Source organism: Homo sapiens, chromosome 6, assembly GCF_000001405.40.
Source record: "Homo sapiens chromosome 6, GRCh38.p14 Primary Assembly".
NCBI lineage: Eukaryota > Metazoa > Chordata > Mammalia > Primates > Hominidae > Homo > Homo sapiens.
The window spans coordinates 18,684,573-18,707,737 of NC_000006.12; the positions used below are offsets into that span (position 1 = coordinate 18,684,573).

Here is a 23,165-nt window from a genome sequence, read left to right on the forward strand (position 1 = left end):
GATGTTTTAAGTTTATAGGGTCAATTTATTAGTGTTTTTGCTTTATGCTTCTGAGATTGTATGATCCGTCCTAAAAGATATTGCACATTGTACGATTTTTTTTTTTTTTAGAGTCAGGGTCTCATTTTGTTGTCCAGGTTGGAGTGCAGTGGCGTGATTACAGCTCATTGTAGCCTCTAACTCCTCGGATCAAACATTCTCCCCCTTCAGCCTCTGAAGTAGTGAGAACTATAGGTGCATGGTGCTGTACCTGTCTAATTGTTAAATATTTCGTAGAGACAGTGATCTCACTATGTTGCCCAGGCTGGTCTCAATCTCCTGGGCTCAAGTGATCGCTTATGACCCTAATGACTTTGAACAATGACTGGAAATAGTTTTAAACTCCATTTTGCCAAGTTTTCAAAATTATTAATTTGAAATTTTGAATGGGCATTTGAATACATCCCTAAAAAGTTTTAACTGAATTCAATATAAATTAATTTAGAAGTATTTATGTTTTTATAATGTAATATCTATTCAAGAGAACATTAATTCATTTATTTTTTACATTTTTTTCTGTTGTGTCCTTTAGTGGAATGTTACAGGCTTGCTAGTAATTTTGTCAATTTATTGAGATGATATCTAGTTGCTTGTTTATTTCTTTGATAATCAATGAGAAAGAGCATTGTTGATATTATTGTGGATCATTTTCTTTTTTCTTTGTGGACTTGCTGGTTTATGTCCTTTTGAATTAAAAAATAATTTGTGAGAATTATTTGCATATTAAGGTTGGTAACTCATTGGTATATGCTTTGTAAATATTATTTTCCATTTTAATTTTTGTTTTTAAAATATGTTTACAATGCTTTTAGTTTCCCACTATATGGAAGTGCTTAATTTTATATAGTCAATTTATCAGTCTTTTTGTTTAGTGATTCTTGATTCTTATGACAAAAGAACATTAAGTTTATTCTGTATGGTGAGACCTTTGAATTTCAGCCATCCTAGTGGATATGTAGTGGTATTTTATTGTGACTTTAATTTACAAGTCTCTAATGAATAATAATGTTAAGCATCTGTTTATATGTTTATTCCCATCTGCATACCTTCTTGGTGAAGAGTGTGTTCAAATATTTTGCTCAATTTTTACTGGGTTGTTTGTCTTCTTATGATTGTGTTGTACAGCATTATTATACATTCTAGGTTACTAGCCTCTTTGATGGGTATGTATTTTGCAAATTTTTTTCTCAGTCTGTGCCTTGCCTTTTCATTTTCATTGTATTATTATTTGAAGAACAAAAGACTTTAAACTCAATTTATCAGTTTTTTTCTTCCATGGATTGTGATTTTTGGTGTACTACTTTAAAAAAATCTTTGCCGAGCTGAAGGTCTCTAATACTGTCTATGTTTTATTCTATATGTTTTATAGCTTTAGCTCTTGCATTTGGTTCTAAGTTCTTATTTGAGTTAATTTTAAATATTTTGAGACTTAAGAACGAAATTTCATTTCATTTTTGCACATAGCTATCTAATTAATTGTTCTAGCACCATTTGCTGAGAAGATTATCCTTTCCCGTGTTACATGTTCTTGACATGTTGTCAAAAATCAATTGACCATTTGTATGTGGATCTATTTCTGGGTTCTATTGATCTTTGTGTCTATGTTTACACCAACACCATACTGTCTGGATTACTGTAGCTTTTATAGTACGTCTTGAAATTAGGTAGTGTAAGTCTTCTAGCTTTGTTCATCTTCTTAAAAATTATTCTAAGACCTTTGCATTGCCATATAAATTTTAGAATCAGCATGTCTGTTTCTCTAAAAAGTCCTGCTAGAATTATACCAGTTCACATATTGTATAACAATCCTACAACCATATGCTTCTATTCCCTTCTTCTAACCTTTGTGCTACTTTTGTTACACACTTACTTTTACATATGTGATCAACTCATATTTTACAATTTTTGCTTTAAACAATTATCTTTTAAGCTGATTTAGAAAAACACAAAACATCTTTTGTATCCACTTTTATATTTACTATTTCTGGTGTTCTTCACTCCTTTGCTTAGATCCAGATTTCCTTATCATTTTACTTGAACTATTTTGACATTGTACCTTTTGCTTGAAGAATTTCCTTCAATATTTTTTATAGTGTTGATCTGGTAGCTATGCACTTTTTCAGCTTTTGTATATGTAAAAATGTCTTTATTTTGCCAATGACTTTGAAAAATATTTTGACTTGAAAAATATTTTCCCTGGGTATACATAGGATTCTAGGTTGACAGATGTTTTCTTTCAGTACCTTAAAGTTGGTGTTCCACTGTGTTTTGGCTTGCATTGCTTCTGATAAGTCTGATGGCATTCTTTTCCCTCCACAAATAATATAACTCTTTTTTCTCTGTATGCCTTTAAGATTTTCTTTGTTCCACTTTTTTGAAGCAATTTGATTATCATAATCTTTGATGTCATTTTCTTCACCTTCCGCATGCTTGGGGTTTGTTGAGATTCTGGAAACTGAGGATTTGTAGTTTTCATCAAATTTAGAGAATATTTGACCATCATTTTTTTGAATATTTTGTTTCCTTCCTCTTAACTTTCTTGGACTTCATTTAAATGTAAATTGAAATAATTGAGGTTGTCTTACATTTTTCTCATGTTCTCACAATTTTTTCCCTATCTTTTTTTTTATTTTTCATTTCATGTAGTTTCTTTTGTTATGTACTCAAGCTCACTAATGTTTTCTTCTGGAATATCTAATCTGCTGTTTATCCCATTTGAAATATTTTTAAATCTTGTAAATTATATTTTTTCATTTTTAGAAATTTGTTTTGTTTCTTTTTTATATTTTCTGTATTTCTGCTTAGAGCACTTATGCTTTCCTCTCCCTTATTGAACACATGCAGTATATTTCTAATTGTAGTTTTATTATATTTTCTATTCATTCTGTTATCTGTGTCATTTCTGGGTCTGTTTATATTGCTTATTTTTTTTTCACCATTATGTGTTGTATTTTCCTACTTCTTTGCATTCCTGATAATTTTTTTAAAAGCTTTTATTTTTTATCCTTTTAAAAATTGCATTGACTAGGATCTTCTTTTTCTCTTCTTTTTTTCTCTTTTTCTTTTCTTTTCTTTTCTTTTTTTTTAAGACAGGGTCTTGCTCTGTCACCCAGGCTAGAGTGCAGTGGGGCGATCTCAGCTCACAGCAACCTCTGCGTCCCCATTTCAAGCGATTCTCCCACCTCAGCCTCCCGAGTAGCTGGGATTATGGCCATGAGCCACTGTGGGCCCAGCTGCATGCCTGATGATTTTTATTAGATGTCATATATTGTGAATTTTATATTATGGGTTCTGATAGTTTCATATTTCTTTAAATATTTTGGGGTTTTTGGACTTATTTAAGTTACTTGCAAGGAGGTTTTGAGGTTTACTTTTAAGCTTTGTTAATCAAGACCTACATTTTGACATGAATTCTTTGACACCAAGGGGTTGTCCTACAGTTCAATCCAATTCTGTCCTACAGTTCAATCCAATTCAGTTCAATCCAATTACATTGCTATGTAATGTAATGTCACACTGTGGCTACACATGAGGTCCACAGGCTACCTGAACTTCTTCCTGACTTGGCTACAAATTCAGGGACTCCCATACCTCCAACCCCCCTCATTCCCAGGATCGATAATTAGGTAGAAAGACAAAACTCAAGATACTGCTATACTTACTATTACAGTTTTATTAAAAGGGCTACAACTCAGAAATAGCCAAACAGAAGAGACACATAGGGCAAGATTGTGAGGTGGGTGGTGCAGAGCTTCCATGCCCTTTCCTCAGGGAATCAGATGCGTCATCTTGCCAGCATATCAATTTGTTAACCAGGAAGCACTCTAGAGCCTTAGTATCCAAGAATTTTCATCAAGGTTTCATTGCTTAGTTTGTATCTTAGGTAGCTAGGGCTGCTATAACAACATGCTGTGGACTGGGTGGCTTAAGCAACATACATTACTTTCTGACAGTTCTGGGGGCTGGAACATCTAAGATCAATGCGCTAGCAGATTTGGTTTCTTGTGAGAACTCTTTCTTGGCTTTTTGACAGCTGCGTTCTTGCTAGGTGTACCTATTCTACTTTACCTTTCACATGACCTTTCCAGGTATGTGTGCCTGGAGAGAGGGAAAAATTTATGTTTTTTGTTTTTTCTCATAGGGATACTAATCACATCATAAAGGCCCCACTGTTATGATATGATCTAAAGCTAATCACTTCCCAAAGGCACCACCCCTAAACACCATTTCATTGGGGTAACCAATAAATATATCCCATACATTAAATGAGGTAGAGGAAAGCATAAGTGCTCTATGTAAAATTGTGAAAAATATAAAAAAGAAACAAAACAAACTTCTAAAAATGAAAAAACACAATGTTTGAGATGACATGATCATCGTTTAGTAATGATTCATCAGTTATTATTTTAGTGTACTGCTAGATTTAACCTGCTAATATTTTATTTACATTGCTTTTGCATCAATCTATGAATAGGATAGGTCTTTGTCAAACGCTTGATGTATACATACATAAAAATTTCATACACAGTACTTTATTGTTAGATAAATTAGCACTCTTCATTCTGTTTCTCTCCCCACCCCAGACCACTGTATTTCAGGCACTGTGTTGAGCAAGAGGCATTCAAAAACAAATACCCTGGTTTCTCTCTGGGAGGAAAACACAGTCTGGTAGGAGAGAGAAAAAAGGAAATACATATTTACAAAATCATGTGAAAGTGCAGTAATAAAGGCCTATTCCAGGTGATCTGGGAGTACAGGGAAGGATGTTTTTGGCACAGAAGTTGTTCAATCAATATTTGTTGAACTGAATTCACCTTGTTTAGAAGAGGATTTTTAGGAGAAATTTCACAGAGGTGTTGACTTTTGATATTATTGATAAATAAAGAAATAGAAGCCAAGTTTTCTCCTCTGAGAAAAGTGAACTACTTGGAGAAATAGGAGGTAGAGGTACCTGATTTTAATGTATCTTTCTTTATTGTAAGCAGTATCTGCAATTTCAAATAGACTGATTGTTTTTCTTTCATGAATTTGTCATGAGTCATAGTTAAGCGTCTGAATTGTCTCCCAACCCTTTACTAAAATCAACTACACATGGCTATTCTATGAGTTCAGCAGAATATTTTGGAAAATCGTTTAGTCTTTAAGTAATTTGAATGCCAGAGAAATTTAGCTTCAAGATTCTTCTTACCCATTGATTATTGGAAATGATTTAGATTGAAAGAAAGGATTCGCATGTTCTTGATATCATATGCTCATATTTCCTAGGATGTCAGCCTTTATTTCTACTTTACCTATTTCTTTTATTCTTTTTTTCACTGGTCATATTTCACAGGGCAGGAAGGGGGAGAAAAGACTGAACATGTCTTGATGTCTGTCTTGTGCTGTACATTGCCGGGCAGGTCACAGCATCCCTATGAAGGACGTATTCTTGTTATCCTTATTTTCTTAGCTACATAGAGGCTTTGGGTAGCTTACCCATGGTCATATGACTTAGTTTTGATAAAGCTGGACTTCTAATGCACATGTGTCAGAGTCCAAAGGCTACAGCCTTCCTACTATACCATAGAAAGAATTTTTTCAGACTGAAATATGCATTTCCATACATTTGTGACATACTTAGGCTTTTTAAAATCCATGCAGGTCTAACAACTATTTAGCTGAAATGTAAGACTCACTTGAGGGAGTTTGATAGAAATGCATATTACAAGACTTCATCCTCAGAGACTCTGATTCAGTTAATCATCTGTGATGCCCTGAAATCTGCATTTTTAAGAAATTCTCCTAAAAATCCTCTTCTAAAGTTCCTCAGTTGATTCTGATATCAGGCCAGCTTTAGAAATGAGAAATTTATGCCACTGCCCCCCGTGGCTGAAATTACACTGTGAATCTGAATTCATTAGTGCCTTGCAGCATGATTGCTGCCCTGAGAATGATCTATAGAGTTCATCCATGTGAAGCACTGAAATAGAGAAGGTAAATGTCTCTATGAAGGAAAATGTTGACTACTTATGGCACTTGAGGATCTTTGTGGGAGAACGCAATGTAAAGGTGTTATTCCATAGTTGGGACTCCTGTTCACCATCTTCTAGGACAGGGCTCTCAACCCAGGCTGCACATTAGAATGACAACGCCTGGGCCCCAACCCAGTTCAATTAAATTGGAATCACCGCAGTGGGGCCTGAACAGCAATAGATTTTAAAGCACTCCAAATGATTCTAATGTACAGTCAGGGCTGAGGACACTCTTCTCTCAAGTAGGGTAAAGTGAGTAAGTACGAACTCTTTTCTCTGCTGGAAATTGGAAAAATTCCTACTTAAAAATGCTGACTACTTTCTTCTATTTATTTATATTATTGAAATTTTCAGTATTAAAGGAGTCAAGGATAAAAGAATGACCAATAAAGTAATATGTTTGACCTGAGCATTTATTCTATCAACTTTACTCATCTGCAATGAACACAAAACCATTCCCATACTTTTATACGTTCTGAGATATGTCTTAGGTTTTTTAAAAGGCAGATTATAGGTAATCTAGAAGTAATTTGAATGGCTCTATAAGGAAAATGAAGTTTATATCTGCCAATTTAGGCTTAAATTGATCAACTCAGTATTCCCCTACTTGTGTATTCAACAAATAGCTCATGCCAACCATGAGATAGACACCACTGGGTCTTGGGAATGACTGGACACACTGTACAGTTCCTGCCTTCATTGCTATCTGATGGAACAGACAGAGACCAATGAGATAAATGTCACAGGAAGGTAACTAGAGGATGTTATGAGAAAACTCGGGAGGAGAACCTCACATGAAGACATTTCAGAAATCTCCAAAAATCTATTATCGTGCATCTTCTGTGCAAAGGCTAGAGAAGGAAGAGAAAAATAAAGTGAGCATTTCTCTGTGACAAAGGAATAACACACACACACACACACACAGATACAAATACAACTCTCAATGTATGTGTGTGTACATTCTTGAAAAGTGTCCTGATAATTAATTTCTCTTTGCTGTGGTAGGAATCTTTGTAATGATTTTTAGAAACTATTTTTCGTCTACCTGTACCACGGTTTAATATGATACGATTATCATTATTCCTTGTATACAGATAAGGCAAATAAGATGCTAAAATTTGCACTTATTTTCCTTTCTTTCTCCCCCTTAATCATCTCAAGGGTTGGCAGGTTGGAACTAGAATTCTCATTCTCTGAGTTTCAGAGTTGGGACAAAGCTCACTGTGTTACCTTGACTCACAAAATGCAGTGTTAGGGCCCCATTATTATGTGAATAAATGTCATATGTTTATTTTTATGGTGTGTTCTCTTTTATTTCACACCTGCTGACTATCTATACATCAAAGATACATTGGATCACTTATATTTTAAGTGATATTTGAAGATAGCTATACTAAATGATATTTTCTAAGCATTCCAAGTATCCTTCCTTTTCTTTCCAAGTAAAGCAATTGCCCTTTGTAACACAAAATTCTCATTAATAACCATTGAAATGTCATTTTTTCTCTAATTATTTTTCTTGGAATTTTGAGTTCTGCTTATTGACTTAAATTTTTTTTAATGCCCTGAAGATTTCCCTTTATAATAAAAAAAGAAGACCACATAACAAGGATGGCATTGTCTCTATGAATACCTGTGGCAAAAGAATAAAGTCAGTGTCAGGATTATCATTCTTGCCAATATCCTTTCAGTTATATTTTGTAGGATAAATTGAGAATGAAGGACAAACAAAGGCTGGAAGTCATAAGCACATGTATTCCTTTTTGGCTGAAGATATTTCAAACTAACTAGAGCAGAATTTTATCCTAAAAAAAGGTTTTTCTGATAATCTCTTTGGGCAAAGATAACCTACCAAATGATACCAAAAAGCTTTTTATACTAGATGGGAGTGGAGTTCTCACCAACGCAAAATGAAAGAAAGTATTTTCTCTGAAAAGGCCTTCATATACATACTCTTTGGAAATCTATTTGGGTATCCAGATAAATCTGTATTAATTTTCTTTCTCTTTTTATCAATAAAGATATCATTACAAATTAAACGGGGAAATTCTATGGGGGGAATATTTTGTTGAGTTATAAAAAGTAAAGCCTCTCCTACTCTTCTGATAGGTTTGAGGTAGATGCTTCTAAAATAAAGCATTTTGAACACACACAAGATGCTTAATTGGTTTTGTTACATTGACTTTAAGGATAAAAGGATATTTATTGGACTGTGTTAAAGAGGAAATAACTGTTAGAAATGTTTGCACCTCCATCCAAAATTATATTTTCAAAAATTATTCGACCCCCAATCATGTTTGTTTGTTAAAAATTTATCAAATCAATTTGTCTGCTGGCTTAAATCTCCACACATCTTTTACTTTCACAGCACGATTTTAAAAAAAGTACAAAGGGATTTTTTTGTGATGCTGCAATTATGAAATGTTCTACGGTAAGGAGTTATCGATTGTGGTGAGTCATACAGGGACCACTAGGTTATGACTCTTTTCCAGCCTTCCTTGAGATTTCCTTTGATCTGTCCTCATTTAATGGAATGATACCATCTCAGCATGGACACTGCAGACCGACAGAGGTGGCTACCTTTCCAACCTCTCTGCCTGATTCACACCCTGAAGGGGAACAGAAATGTTGTATAAATAGATTGAACCTCAGAGTTTGCTCTGAGAGAGCAAAAGTTTACAATTGTCACAGCAAAATGAAAAAGTATGAGAGATAGTGAATGCTGGGTGCTTGGAGGTAAGTGCCACCGCCCCCAGTCTAATGGGTAATAGAGTCATTAATTCTGCTGATTAACTTGGCCTTGGGGTTCATGGAAATGACATTCATCTCTTTTTTTTGTTATAAGCGCACACTGTGGAACGAGGAAGCATAAAAAAACAAGCTAATTAGGGAGAAATCAGGAGAAAAGAAGCAGAGAGAAAAGAAAGACAGTTTGAGCATTAATGAGACTTGTTTGGGGAGAGACTGTGACAGGCTCTTCAAAAGTATTATTGTCAAATGTGTCACTGTTTCATAGATGGCTAGAGCTACCTTTGAGCTTCATGCTGATAGTTAATGATTTGAAACTATAAAAAGATTGAAAAGGTAAAAGGGAAAACGTCAGACTCAACTGGATTTTAATGAGCTTATTATTATTTTTTCCTAAGAAAAACAGTGCTGGAAAGTAGAGAAGGTCCGCATTCTTTCTATCCCTTGCTCTCTGGATTTCCATTTCTTTCTTAGAGGTACAGTTGGCAAAGGAACAGTAGGAGAGGAATATCAAAAGTCTAAACTCAAAGACCTGGGACGTTTCACTCTTCTGTGAGGATGGGTGGTGATGAGGGCAGCGGCGGGGTTTGGATGACAACAATAACGAAAGATTGATGGAGAGGACAGCAATAGTGCTTGTTTGTTTTTTGGTGACGTGCTGAGCGGAAGCCATCTTCACACTGTGAGATGTAACAAAGAAATCCAAAGTGATTATGCAGGTTCATTTGTCAGTATCACTGCTCCAGCTATTGCTGTGTGCAACAATGAGATGACAAGGCATTTATGGCTGATGGTTGGTTATTAGTGGCATTATAAGAAACATTAGAGCAGAGTAGGATCCATAGACCAGGGAGACAATAGCTTTCTGGGCTCTGAACTCAGCAGGGTAGCCTTGTCATTAAATTTGGTAGTGCCAATTTAATTTTCTTTTAAATAAACCTAGAAGAAACTTTGAAAATGAATTCTGTAGCCCCATTTTTACCTTAATAGGAACTGTCAGGATTTCAGTCCCTGGGCTCTTAGTTATGTGTTAGTAGGCTGAGCACATAGAGAAGACTCACATATTTTCAAAAGAATTGAATGCTAGTGGAAAAATCAGGACCAAATTTCAATTCTTTTCTAGATGATTTTCTTGTGGTCCTTGAAACATTAAATTCTGATTTTAGTACAGTACCTAGGAACAAATTACTAAGCAGGTATTAGGGTCAGACCAACATTCTTACTAATGAGTTTCTGATGAATTCTTTTCAGAAATAAGACACCTGGTTTACAGACTTAAAAGTGGGTAGCCCAGTTCATTGCGAAGCAAGGGGGCTGCATATAAAATAGAGACCTGAATTCCTTTGTGTTCATTCAGAGTTTGTCAGCCAGATTCCACTGATGCAAATAACCCTGAATTCACTGTGCGCATATATCTGGGCTTGGTATATGCAAAGGTGTATTTTTTTGATCCTCATACTTGTAGAAAGATTGTAAACAGAATAGAAATGAAAATACTCATCTGAAGAAGATCTTGGGTCACCCTAAGCCATTGAGAATATGCAGGAGAGATTTTTTTTTCCAAAAAGTTACTTCTTTTATTGACATTTTTATTCTAGAGCACTGTTAAAGCACTAATTAATTGTCAGACCAATTTCATTTAGTAGAAATTAGTAAGATAATTCTGCTGTTGGGCAAAGAAGGCATGGTGGTTTAAATAAACGTGGACAAGTTTGTAGTCATTAGCTAACTTACGACTCACAGCTTGGAAATATATTTCAGAACTTCTCTTATTTTTGCTCAAGACATTAGGTGTACACTCTTATTAGTTTTCAATGGCTTTCCTTTATACTACTGTGGACCATGAAAATAAAGTTTCTGCAATTACAAGGAAGATGGAGACACATTAGGCATCTCCTTTGAGAAGAAGATGGTCCCTAGAAGAACTAGAAGCCCTGAAAAAGTAACGAGGAAGGAAGAGAAGATCAGATAAGTGTGCTGTCTTCACTGGCGTATACCTTGTTACCTGCTAGAATTCAGGGTTCTGTGTTTTTATCTATCTTTAGGCAGGAGGCTGTAGAATTGACTGGGCTGGTAGAGTGAAGTGGCATGGAGCAAATTACCTTCATTTTGAGATATTCTTATCCTAACAACTCGAGTGTGAGATGACATCGATGTATCACTTCTCTTGCACCAGCAGCATTCTTAACTTGTTGTGTTATTCCCAGATTACACATATCTTAAAAGTCAAATGTTCTCCTGATGGCAGAAAGCTTGATCTCTGACTTCCAGAAAAAAAGCAAAGGATTTTTTTTCCTTTTTGCTATAAGAGAGATGTGCAAATACCCAAATACTTTTGATTACCTTAAAAGAGTTAACACCTGGAACTGAACCATTGTGTTCACCGATGCTGGGCATAGAGAAAGTCTACATGAATTATAGAAGATATTTTTACAAAGTTTATTGGAGGAAATAAGAGATGGATCTAACTGGAAAGTGGACTCTTTCTTGGGGAGTGCCATTTCCCTGAGGGCTCAGTTTAGGAATTTCCTCTTTTGGAAGCCCTTCCTGATTCCTATGAGCTGGATTATAACTCTTTGCACTTTTCTGTGATTGCACTTAGTACATTTTATTATAATTATTTGTTTATATGGCTGTGCCCTTCTATTTGAGGACACAATAATAAGAAAAGAAAATAGGTACAAGTGTTTAAAATGGTTGTTCTTGTGAGCACAGCTTTAAAATAAGAAAATGATTTAAATAAATCAATTTCAATCTTTTTATTATATTTTTCTTGTTCATCTTTTTAAGCTTCCTTCATTTTCTCCAGTTTTTCTCTGGTCTTTTTTTTTTTTTTTTGAAATGGAGTCTCATTCTATCACTCAGGCTGGAGTGCAGTGGCTCTGCTCACTGTAACCTCAACATCCTGAGCTCAAGCGATCCTCCCACCTCAGTCTTGAGAGTAGGTGGGACTACAGGCGTGTGCTACTAGGCCTGGCTAATCTTTGTATTTTTTGTAGAGATGGAGTCTTGCTATATTGCCCAGGCTGGTCTGGAACTCCTGAGCTCAAGTGATCCACCAGCCTTGGCCTCTCAAAGTGTGGGATTACAGGCCTAAGCCACCGCACCTGGCCTCCTCTGGTCTTATTCACAGAAAGTCTTAGAGACCTCCTCCACCTGTCATTGACCTTTAAGTGACTGATATCTAAAGGATACCAAAGAAAAGGTTTGTTTGTAGGAACAAAATTTAATGTTTCATCAGTCTTTTGTGTTTCAAAGTCATGCTATATAATATTATGAGAAAGTTTTTTGGGAACAGAAAATACTTGATTTTAGAAGTGACCAAGGTAAGTCCCTATAAGGAAGGAAAATGGAGACCCACACATTGCCACTTTTTGGAATTGCTTTCATGGGGTTTAAAATAAGATCCTATTTTAGTTAAACAACTTGGATGGCATATGTGAAGTGCTGTGTAATTTACAACCCCCTCCATGTATATTTCATTAGATTTTTTTTTTCCCACAGCAATTCTATGAGCTAGATAGGGTAGGGAATATATTCCTATTGTGCAGAAGTGTAACCTGAGGTATAGAGAGTGTCTTGTCTATGGTCAAACAGGCAAGCAGTTGCTAAGTGACTGGGCCAATGCTTAACCTCTAGTCTTCCTGCTCTAGTACTGCCATTCCAGATGCCAAAATGAGCTTTTCTATTTGCAAAGAGTTTACTAAATGTTATGGCATTATTATAATTGCCACATTTTGCATTAGGAATTCCTCAGAAAAGGGAACTACATTATTCCATGAATGAATCTCAAACCTTGCCTTTTTAGTGCCTATTCCTAAAAGTAGACAAGCTTTTCTAGAGATGTACAGATGTTAAATGGAAGAAATAAAGTCACATTCATAATACAGATGACACTGGATTCAGGAGGAGCTCAATAGGCTGGATATAAACCTGCATGTAATTTCAAGTCAGAGAACCAAATAAAAATATTTCTAAAAGTAGTTATAAATGAAAAATACTGCCTTGACCATTCTGAAGAGAATGAGTTAGTGGTCTTAAGGATGCAAGTGCAAAGCAAGTTGTGTGTGTGTGTGTGTGTGTGTGTGTGTGTGTGTGTCAGCTTTGCCAAATTTTTGCCAGTGGTTCTAAATAGGAGAGTTATTGAGCAATCACAGTGAGGGTTCCAGCGTCCTACAGCTGGAATCTGTGCAGGTGCAGCTTTCTGGTTGCAGGCCAGCATTTTTTTTGCACTACTGCTGGCAGTAACCATTTTAAAATAGAAACATGATTGTACTTTATTTTAATATTTCTCCCTTCCATTTTTTCCCCTACTGTAAATCAATTCTGCTCTGAGCATAACGTCCTTGCCAAGGTTTCGGGTAACAGGTTAAGCCCACTGGCTGAGGCTCTTTTCAGCAGTTGGAAACACAATGAGTAAGTATACTGCCAGTTGGTATGGTACACGTGACTGAATGAGAAAATGTTAACCACACAAAGCAAACTTTTCTTGGGCTTTTGTGACATTCGGAGATGAACTATTTCACTACTCCCAACACCATGGCAGGTAGCAGGCATATGTTAACTACGTGATCATAGTTCTCCTGGTTTGCTGTCTTACCCTATGGGTTCTGGGAAGATTGTAATATATATGAAGTCATTGGGTGTCAAACAGATCTCTCTGCAGAATTGTAATTAAAGAAGCTTACACTTGCGTAGCACTTATCTGTTCCAGACACTATTCTAAAATCTTTACATGTATTAACTCATTAAATCCTCGCACCAACTCTAAGAGAAGGTACTATTCTTATGTGATTTTTATAAATGGGGAAACTGAGGCACAAAGAAATCAAGTAACTTGCCCCAGGTCCTATAGATAATAAGGGCAGGGGGAGCCAGGATTTGAATTTAGGGAGTCTAGGGTTAGAGTCTGTGCTGCTTACCACGTGGCTACATAGGATTCCGTTTTGGAATTTTAAGGCTATCTAATTTCACAACAAGCCAAGGTCAACTTCCCCACTCCCTTCAGGTGCTGTTTGTATACATGTCTATCTCCTCGAGTAAACTGCGAGCTGTGTAAAGGTAAAGGCTGGGCTTTTAATCTTTATATCTGCTCTTGCCATCTAGAACTAGACTTTTCTATAATAAGTATTCAACAAGATACCTGAAGCAGACATTTCAGGGATTCGAAAAGAATATGTGCCAGAATGTTTGATTATAGTACAGAAGATCAAAATAATTAGGAGATTTGTTTTAAAGTTCAAATACAGTAAGTTCAGCATCAAGTGAGTGTCAATTTGTAGCACATTTTCCCACAGGACCAGGCCTCATGTAGTTTCCTACCGGATCTTAAAAAGACACAACCACATTTTCTGTTCTTTGTAACATACATACAAGCCAATTGTTGCTATGCAGGAGTAAGCATCCTTAGCGGTGTTTTTTTCCTGTTGGATGACATGGTCTTTGCTTTTGAAATAACCCTGTCTTCAGTTAGTCTCCTTAGAGCCTGGCTTTGTCAATAAGGACATCTTGACTTAGTTCTTTGGAATACTTATAATAAACCCCAGTTACCCATAACTGATAATAGTTTTCCAAAACAGCTAGTTTTTGCTCCTGGTTCTGTGACCTTAGGTATCGGTAGAAATGACTGACCTTGCATGTTCCTAGAAGAGGTCACCAGGTCTGCCCTTTTCTGGTAAGCCATTAGAGATGCCAAATCTCTATTAGAACCCATGTATTTCATTTTTCTGTCAAGTTTTATAATTGGAGAATACTCATTGAAAACTAAAGGTTGTAAATGGAAAGTCTTGCTTAATACTGTAGAAGACAGACAAAGCAGTGAATTGGGAACTTAGAGTTTGTGATTTCAGTTCCAGATTTCTGGCTAAGTGGCTAGCCAGGGGACCCTGAGCAATCAAAATGAGATAAGTTTCCTCATTACACTAGAGAGTGAAATTAGATAGCGCCTTTTCAATTCTCTTCTTCTAATCTAGTCTGTGTAAGAAATCCCGTCTTCTCTGTATCCTGATCACCATAACTTTCCACCGAAGATCTTGACGGAAAGAGAACTTTAATAGGAAGTGTAAGTTTGTTTTGGTAAGTAAAATCCTTACCATTGACAAGTTGAACCATGACAAGTGTTGAAACTTTCAGGAAGCTGTTGATGGATTTCCCATGAACAAATTTAGATTTTGGATTTTACTATTAGGTTGGTGCAAAAGTAATTGCAGCTTTCGCCATTACAGTATTTACAGTACCATAAATTAAATTAATTTTAGAATTAAAAGTTAAAGGAAGGTTTCTTCCTCTACTGGTAACTTTTTGAATGATCTTAAGAATGTGTGCATGCTTATGGTTGCTAAGGAAGCTTCTAATTCTGTTTATTTGAAGCAGTACTAATATTACTGTGACTCCACTTGGAAATGGACACCGTCTACCTTCACATGTTTGTTCTCCAAATCTTTGCTACTCAAAGTGTGATTATAGACCACCAGCATCAGCATCACCTGGCAGTGTGTTAGAAGTGCAGAACTACTGAATCAGAAGTGGAATTTTAACAAGATCCCTAGGTGATTTGTGCTCACATTAGTGTTTGAGATGTGCTGCTCTAAATCACTCAGATTGCTGAAAGTTTTTTTCTCTTAAAATCTCACAATGTTCTGTTTAATGTGGGGCTACCTGAATCAAAATTTATTAGTATGCAAGAAACTCCGATCTTGAGCTTGATTTCATTACTGAAAGTGTGCGTGTGTGTGTGTGTGTGTGTGTGTAGTAGGAGGAGTAGTAGTAGTGGAGAAGAATATAGCATTATCTTCAACCCATAGAAGGATGATGGTTTCTCAGATTGGCACAGGCCCACAGGAACATTTGGGTTTAGGGTGTGTTATCACTCAGTCTATTCAAGTTGCACATAGAGAGGCATAGCCAAGAAAGTAGAACTGTGGAGGAAAGCTGTGTATATGAGGGGCCATATGTGATCCAATGCTCAGCATAGGGTTAGAGTTGAAGAACTATTCAAAAAGTAAGGAGCAATTAAAAGCCATGGTCACCCATCCTGCGATGTTGTAAATCTTTCATTGTTAATCAGCTAGCCTTATAGAGTATTATTTCACTCTCTTAATTTTTGTAGTTAAGGCTTTTACAAAGGCAGTGTACTCTCATGAGCCATGGGGTGTGTTCTGACTCCTCTGCTAAGTGAGGAAAGAACAATGGGAAGGCTGCCTGCCCATTAGCATACTAGGTCCTTTTTTTGATGACCTCCTCACTCCAGTTTCAGATTTATCTTTTTTTGTTTCTTTTTTGTCACTGCTTTGACAGATATTCAGTCTCTCTTGGTGCTCCTGAGACCTGGCCTTACCTCTCAGGTGCCTGCTGCTTGTTCTCTCTTTCACTCCTCACCATTCTTCCACCCTTAAAGCTCACTCTCCATTTTCTCTCAAATTGTGATATGCAAAGTGACTTGCAAGGCTTGAGCATCTCTCTCTGTCTCTGTAATATCTGAATTTGGACAACAACAATTAAAAATCTTGACTTTCTCTAAGTAATTGCCTCTGCTGGGGTCTTTCAGGCATTAATACAGGTGAGTGGAGGAGATAATATTAAGGGAGAAGGGTAGCAGCCTGTTCTCAATGCCTCTTAAACCCTCTGCCTGGATGTTACCCCCTTTGTGCCGGGCCCAGGTGTCTGATATAGCCAAACAGAGAGTGGGAAGCTTGCTTCATGAAAGTTAAAATGTAAGGTCTTAAGAGCATAAGAAACACTAAGTTTACATTGAAGACGGTCACTGTAGACTATGGATATATATCTTTGACCACACTTCGTATTGGAACACTAAGATAGAAGAGCATTAAGTGGAGTAGGCTATGGACCTAGGGCAAGTTGGCCTCCGAGGATGGTGATGAATGAGAGGCTGAGAAGCAATTCAGTGACTCCTGGGGATGGACTCTACTCTCCCACTGACTGGTGCTCAGTTGGGCTTGAGGATCAGAAGTAAGATGTATATTCATTATTTCCATTAATAACCTAGAGATGGTTTGTATATGTCAATGTATGTTTTCTTCCTTTGTCCAAAGCAGGAAAAGGCTTACACAATCTGGCAAAACCCTTCCCTGAGCAGGCAGTGAATTGACGTGAGTCATTCCCCACTAAGGACTCTGGAGTCCAGGGAAATGGGCTGTGTCTGCCTTTTCCCCCTTTGGCCATGTTACCCCAATACATTTCTAAACTTGAGTAGATAAATTGGGGTCTTAATCTGATCTTGCAGTGAAGTTGTGTGTGTGGCTTCTGCCTGACATTCATGGCCCATCTGAGATGCTGAACTCTTCAGTCTTGAAGAGAATTATTTGGCTATGTACATTTAGAAAATATCTACATAGTTAAAAGATAGCAGACACGTATTGAGTGTTTACCAGGTTGAATACTATCTGAATTATTCGGCACAGCTTCCATATGAGGCAAATACTACTTTCCCCATTTTACAACTAAAGAAGCTGAAAGAAAGGTTCAAACTTGCCTAGAAATCACCAGGCACAATAAAGTTGTTTTACTTAGCCAGATTGTTTTACTCCAAAGCCTATGCCTTAAACATCTATGCTACTCAAATCAGAAAATGATCTTGTGTAACTTTCCTCTGTTGGTATAGAATATTTTTCTCCTTATTATATGGATTACATTAAGACACTTGCAACAAAAATTCTTAGCCCTCATTATTTTAGTTCACTCTAGGGTCACTTCTCATTCAATTCTTCATATGTCCATCTCTGGGCATTTCTATGTCTGAAAAGTTTTCAAGAAGGTGACCTATGCTGTCAGGAAACCTCCCCCTGCTCTTTCTTTTCATTTTTGGAAGCAATTATACCTTTCACTCAAGGCTAACAAAGTTAATGTAATTTATTTTAAATGGTTCATTTGGCTTGGAAACCACTTGGATATTTCTATTGAATACATTTCAGAATAAACATATTTGGAGAAAAAAATCTACATTCAACAAGTATTTGAGTTTCTACTTTTTTTTTTTTTGGTAAGACCCTGAGTTGAGAACTATGGAGCATGCAACATTCAGTACAAAGTTCTGTGACCAGAGGTGTGATGATAAATTTTGTGTGTCCACTTGCCTGGCCCACAGGATACCCAGACGTTTGGTCAAGCATATTTTGGGTGTGTCTGTGAGGCTATTTCTGGATGAGATTAACATTTGAATCAGTAGACTGAATAAAGAAGATTGCCCTCCCTAAGTCAGTTGAAGATCTGAATAGAATGAAAAGGCTGAGGAAGAATCTCAAATTGGGCATCAAAGTAACTGATGCCCAATTACTTTGAACTGGAACATTGATCTTTTTCTGCCTTCAGACTGGAACTACTGTTTTGACTCTTCTTGGGTCTCAAGTCTGTAGACTTTTTGACTGGAATGACACAGTTGGCTCTCCTGAGTCTCCCATCTGCCCACTACAGATCTTGAGACTTCTCAGCTTCTATAATTGCATGAGCCAATTCCTTGTAATGAATCTTTGTTTACATTATACTATGATGATTAAATTTATGTATCAACTTGACTAGGTTGAGGGATGCCCAGATAGCTGATAAGACATTATTTCTGAGTGTGATTGTGAGAGTGTTACTGGAAGAGATTTTCATTTGCATCAGTGGACTGAGTTAAATAGATCTGCCCTCACCAATGTGAGTGGGCATCAATCAATCCATTGACTGTCCAAATAGAGCAAAAAAGCAACAGAATGGCGAATTCTCTCTCTTCGTAAGCCAGGACATCCATTTTCTCTTGCCGTCAGACATCAAAGCTTCTGGTTCTTGGGCTTTCAGACTCCAGGATTATCAGGCTTTTGGCCTTGAACTGGGAGTTACAATATTGGCTTGCCTTGTTGTTAGGCCTTTGGACTCTGAATTACAGTGTGGACTTTCCTGGTGTTCTAGCTCACAAACGACATATGGTGGGACTTCTTGGCCTCCATAATCATGTGAACCAATTCCCATAATACATTTCCATATATATATATGTATAATGTATGTATATGTATATATATATATATTTATTTCCTATAGGTTTTATTTCTGCAGAGAATCCTGACTAATACACCAAGTGTTGCCAAACACACTCTCCAAACACATCCTTTTCTATGGAAATTGTCTGTGCTTGGAAGTCAACTTACCCAAGATGGATTAGATGAATTTCAAATAGGTTTTGTTTAATGAGTTTTGTAGGTATAAATCATGTAACAAGTCAGTCTGGGGAAATATACAATATCAATAATAATTGGACATACTTCAGTTGGTACATTGGACAAAAACCTCTTCATAGGGATCTTTCTGTAAGAGCTGTGACAAGTCTGAAAATCGGAGACAGTATTTCTATTGTTTTCTGAGCTTCAAAAGGAAGGAAGATGTTAAATGCCAAGTGTCAGGCCCCAGAGGAGGAATCATTGTTGACTAACTGATTGCAGGCCAAAACTTCTCTGGTTTGCGAAGATGATTTTTTTAATGTCTCTGAGTATGACTGTGATAGAGTTTCCATATAAGAAGTATAGAAAAGAAAACGTGTTTTCCTATGGACTTGGAGGCTGATTTTTCTAATGAACATAAGCCTTGCCTTTTCAGAATTATCAATTTCATTCTAATATAACTTTGGTTTTAATTCAGTGGAATTCATACAACATAAAATTAACCGTTTTAAAGTAAACAATTCAGCAGCATTTAGTGTATTCATCTCTATCTAGTTCCAAACATTTTCATCACCCCAAAAGGAAACTCCATACTTCTTAGAGTTGCTCCTGGTTCCTACCTCTCCATACCCCAACCCCTAGAAACTCTATGGATTTATCTATTCTAATCTGCTTTTAAAATAGTATTCTGTACAAAGAAAAGCTCACAGCATAGAACATAAGTTATGTAATGGAAGGAGTATATTTAACTTACAGATAGTTTTAATATTTGTTACAGGTACTTATAGAATTTTTATTTTTATTGTTTAGTTTCCTTTTTAAATATATGACTGACAAGAAGTAATTGTACAGGTTTATGGCATACAATGTGATGTGATATTTTAATACATGTATAAATTGTGTAATGATCACATCATGGTAATTAGCATATTTGTCCTCTTAACCATTTATCTGTTCTTTGTGATGAGAACATTTAAAAAGCTCATTTCTAGCTATTTTGAAATATACAACATATCGTTAACTCTAGTCACCTTACTGTGCAATAGACCCCCAGAACTTATTCCTGCTATCTAACTGTAGTTTTGTACCCATTGACTAATCTCTCACCTTCCCGCTTTCTCCCCTCCATCCTCCCCTCCACCATTCTACTCTCTACTTCTATAAGAACAACTTATTGGATTCCACATATAAAGGAGATCATGCAGTATTTGTCTTTCTCTGTCTGGTTTATTTCACTTAACGTAATGTCCTTGAGGTTCATCCATATTGCTGCAAATAACAGAATTTCTTTCATTTTTATGGCCGAATAGTATTCCATTATGTGTATGTACTGTGTATGTACCACATTTTCTTTATCCATTCTCTATTAATGAACATTTATGTTGATTCTGTATCTTGACTATTGCGAATGCTGCTGCAATAAACATGAGATGCAGATATCTCTTCAACAAACTGATTTCATTTCCTTTGGATGTGTGCCCAGTAATGGGATAGCTGGATCCTATGTTAGTTCTATTTTGAGTATTTCGAGGAATCTTCATACTGTTTTCTGTAATGGGTGTACTAGTTTACATTTCTACCATAAGTCCATAAGTGTAGAGTTTTATCTACACCCTCATCAATGCTTGTTATCTTTTGATTTTTTTGATAGTAGCCATTCTAACTGGAGTGAGGTGATATCTCATTGTGGTTTTGATTTGCACCTCCCTGATTAGTAATGTTGGGCACTTTTTCATAAAACAACTGTTGGCCATTTGTATGTCTTCTTTTGAGAAATGTCTATTCAGGTTTTTTGCCCATTTTTAAATTGAGTTAGTTAAATTTTTGTTGTTGAGCTGTTTGAATTCCTTGTATGTTTTGGATATTAGCACTTTATTAGATGTATAGTTTGCAAATATAGTTGCCCATTCTGTAGGTTATTTTTGCTCTGTTGATGGTTTCCTTGCTATACAGAAGCATTTTAATTTGATGTAATCCTACTTGTCTACATTTGCTTTTGTTGCCTGTACTTTTGAGGTTTTATTAAAAAAATATAATTGCCTGTACCAATGTCATGGAGGTTTCCCCTAGTATTTTCTTCTAATAGTTTCAGCTTTTACATTTAAGTTTTCAATCTTATTATGAGTTTTGTTGTAAGTTGTCATAGGTAAGGGCCTAGTTTCATTCTTCTGCAGATAATATCCAGTTTTCTCAGCACCATTTATTGGAGGCCATTCTTTCCTCATTGTGTGTACTTGGCATCTTTGTAAAAGATCAGTTGGCTGTAGATGTGAAGATTTATTTCTGGGCGCTCTGTTCTGTTCCATTGGTCTGTGTGTCTGTTTTTATGCCAGTAGTGTGCTGTTTTGGTTACTATATAGCTTTGTAGTATGTTTCAAAGTCAGGTAGTGTGATGCTTCCAGTTTTGCTCTTTTTGGTCAAGATTTACTTTGGCTATTTGGAGCCTTTTGGGATTCCATATAAATTTGTGGATTTTTTTTCTATTTCTGTGAAAAATGTCATTGGTCTTTTGATAGGAATTGAATCTGTACATCATTTTGGGTAGTATGGACATTTTAACAACATTAATTCTTTCAATCCATAAGCAAGGGATACTTTTCCATTTTTGTGTGTGCGTTCTATTTCTTTCATCAACATTTTAGTCTTAATTGTAGAGATCTTTAGCTTCCTTGATTAAATTTACTTCGAGATATTTTTGTGGTTTTTGTAAAAAAGATTGCTTTTTCAGATAAATTTGCTATTGGCATATAGAAATACTACTGATTTTTGTATTTTGATTTTGTATCATATATCTTTGCTGAATTTGTTTATTAGTTCTAACAGTTTTTTTGTCAGAGTCTTTGAGGTTTTCTTTACATAAGATTATGTCATCTACAAACAGAGACAGCCTCTTTTCCAATTTGGATACCTTTATTTCTCTTGCCTGGTTGCTTCGACTTCCAGCCCTATGTTGAATATAAGAGGTGAAAGTGAGCATCTTTATCTTTTTCCAGATCTTAGAGAGAAAACTTCCAGCTTTTCCCCATTCAGCATGATGTTAGATTTGGGTTTGTTATATATAACCTTTATTATGTTCCTTCTATGCCTAATTTGTTGAAAGTTTTTGTCATGAAGGGGTATTGAATTTTATCATGTTTTTCCTGAATCTATTGAGATGATAATATGGTTTTGTCCTTCATTCTTTTAATGTGATGTACTATGTTTATTGATTTGTATATGTTGAACCATCCTTGCATCCCAGGGATGAATCCCACTTGATCATGGTGAATAATCTTTTTGATGTGCTGTTAGATTTGATTTGTTAGTATTTTGTTGAGGATTTTTGACTTTATGTTCATTAGAGATATTGGCCTGTAGTTTTCTTTTTTGTCGTGTCCTTGTCTGGTTTTGGTATTATAGTAATGCTAACCTCTTCAAATGAGTTTGGAAGAATACTTTACTCTTCAAATTTTTGGAGTAATTTTAGCAGAATTGGTATTAGTTCTTCTTTAAAAGTTTGGTAGAATGCAATAATGAAGCCATCAGGATCTGGGCTTTTTTTTGATAGGAGACTTTTTATTACTGATTCAATTTTGATACTCATTATTGGTCTGTTCGGATTTTCTCTTTCTTTGTGGTTCAATCTTGGTAGGTTGTATGTGTCTGGGAATTTATCAATTTCTTCTAAGTTTTCCAATTAGTTTGCATCTAGTTGTTCATAATAGTCTTTAATTATCTTTTGTATTTCTGTGATGTCAGTTTTAATTATTTCTTTTTTGTCTCTTATTTTATTTATTTGTGTCTTTTTTTCTTATTCTGCTTAAAGGTTTTTCAGTTTTGTTTATCTTTTCACAAAATCAGCTCTTTATTCTGTTGATTGTTTTTGTATTTTTTAGTCTCTATTTCATGTATTTCTGCTCTGAGCTTTATTACTTCTTTCCTTCTACTTGTTTTGGGTTTGGTTTGTTCTTGTTTTTCTAGTTCCTTGGGTTGTAATGTTAAGTTGTTTATTTGAGATCTATTTTTTTGTAGGCGTTAATTGCTATAAACTTCCCTATTCACACTGCTTTTGCTGTATCTCATAAGTTTTGGTATGTTGTTTCCATTATCATTTATCTGAAGAAATTTTAAGTTGTGTTGCTTAATTTCTTCACTGACCCATTGGTCATTCAGGAGCATGTGATTTAATTTCCATGTATTTGTGTAGTTTCCTAAGTTCTTCTTGTTATTGATTTCT

General features: G+C 35.8%; 1 long non-coding RNA gene across 1 annotated transcript in view, besides 1 other annotated feature; it reads left to right on the plus strand.

Annotated features, from left to right (window-relative positions):
• The window catches only part of MIR548A1HG (MIR548A1 host gene), a 200,152-nt gene that overhangs the window by 161,826 nt on the left and 15,161 nt on the right, over positions 1-23,165 (plus strand). The gene's annotated exons all lie outside the window — the stretch shown is intronic.
• Positions 8,417-9,616: an enhancer, noted in NCBI's record as "BRD4-independent group 4 enhancer chr6:18693220-18694419 (GRCh37/hg19 assembly coordinates)". NCBI's record gives its function as "activates an origin of replication core promoter dependent on BRD2, P300/CBP, MED14 and CDK7 cofactors, and independent of BRD4, by STARR-seq in HCT116 cells {active_cell/tissue: HCT116}" and the evidence as "EXISTENCE:reporter gene assay evidence [ECO:0000049][PMID:35650434]".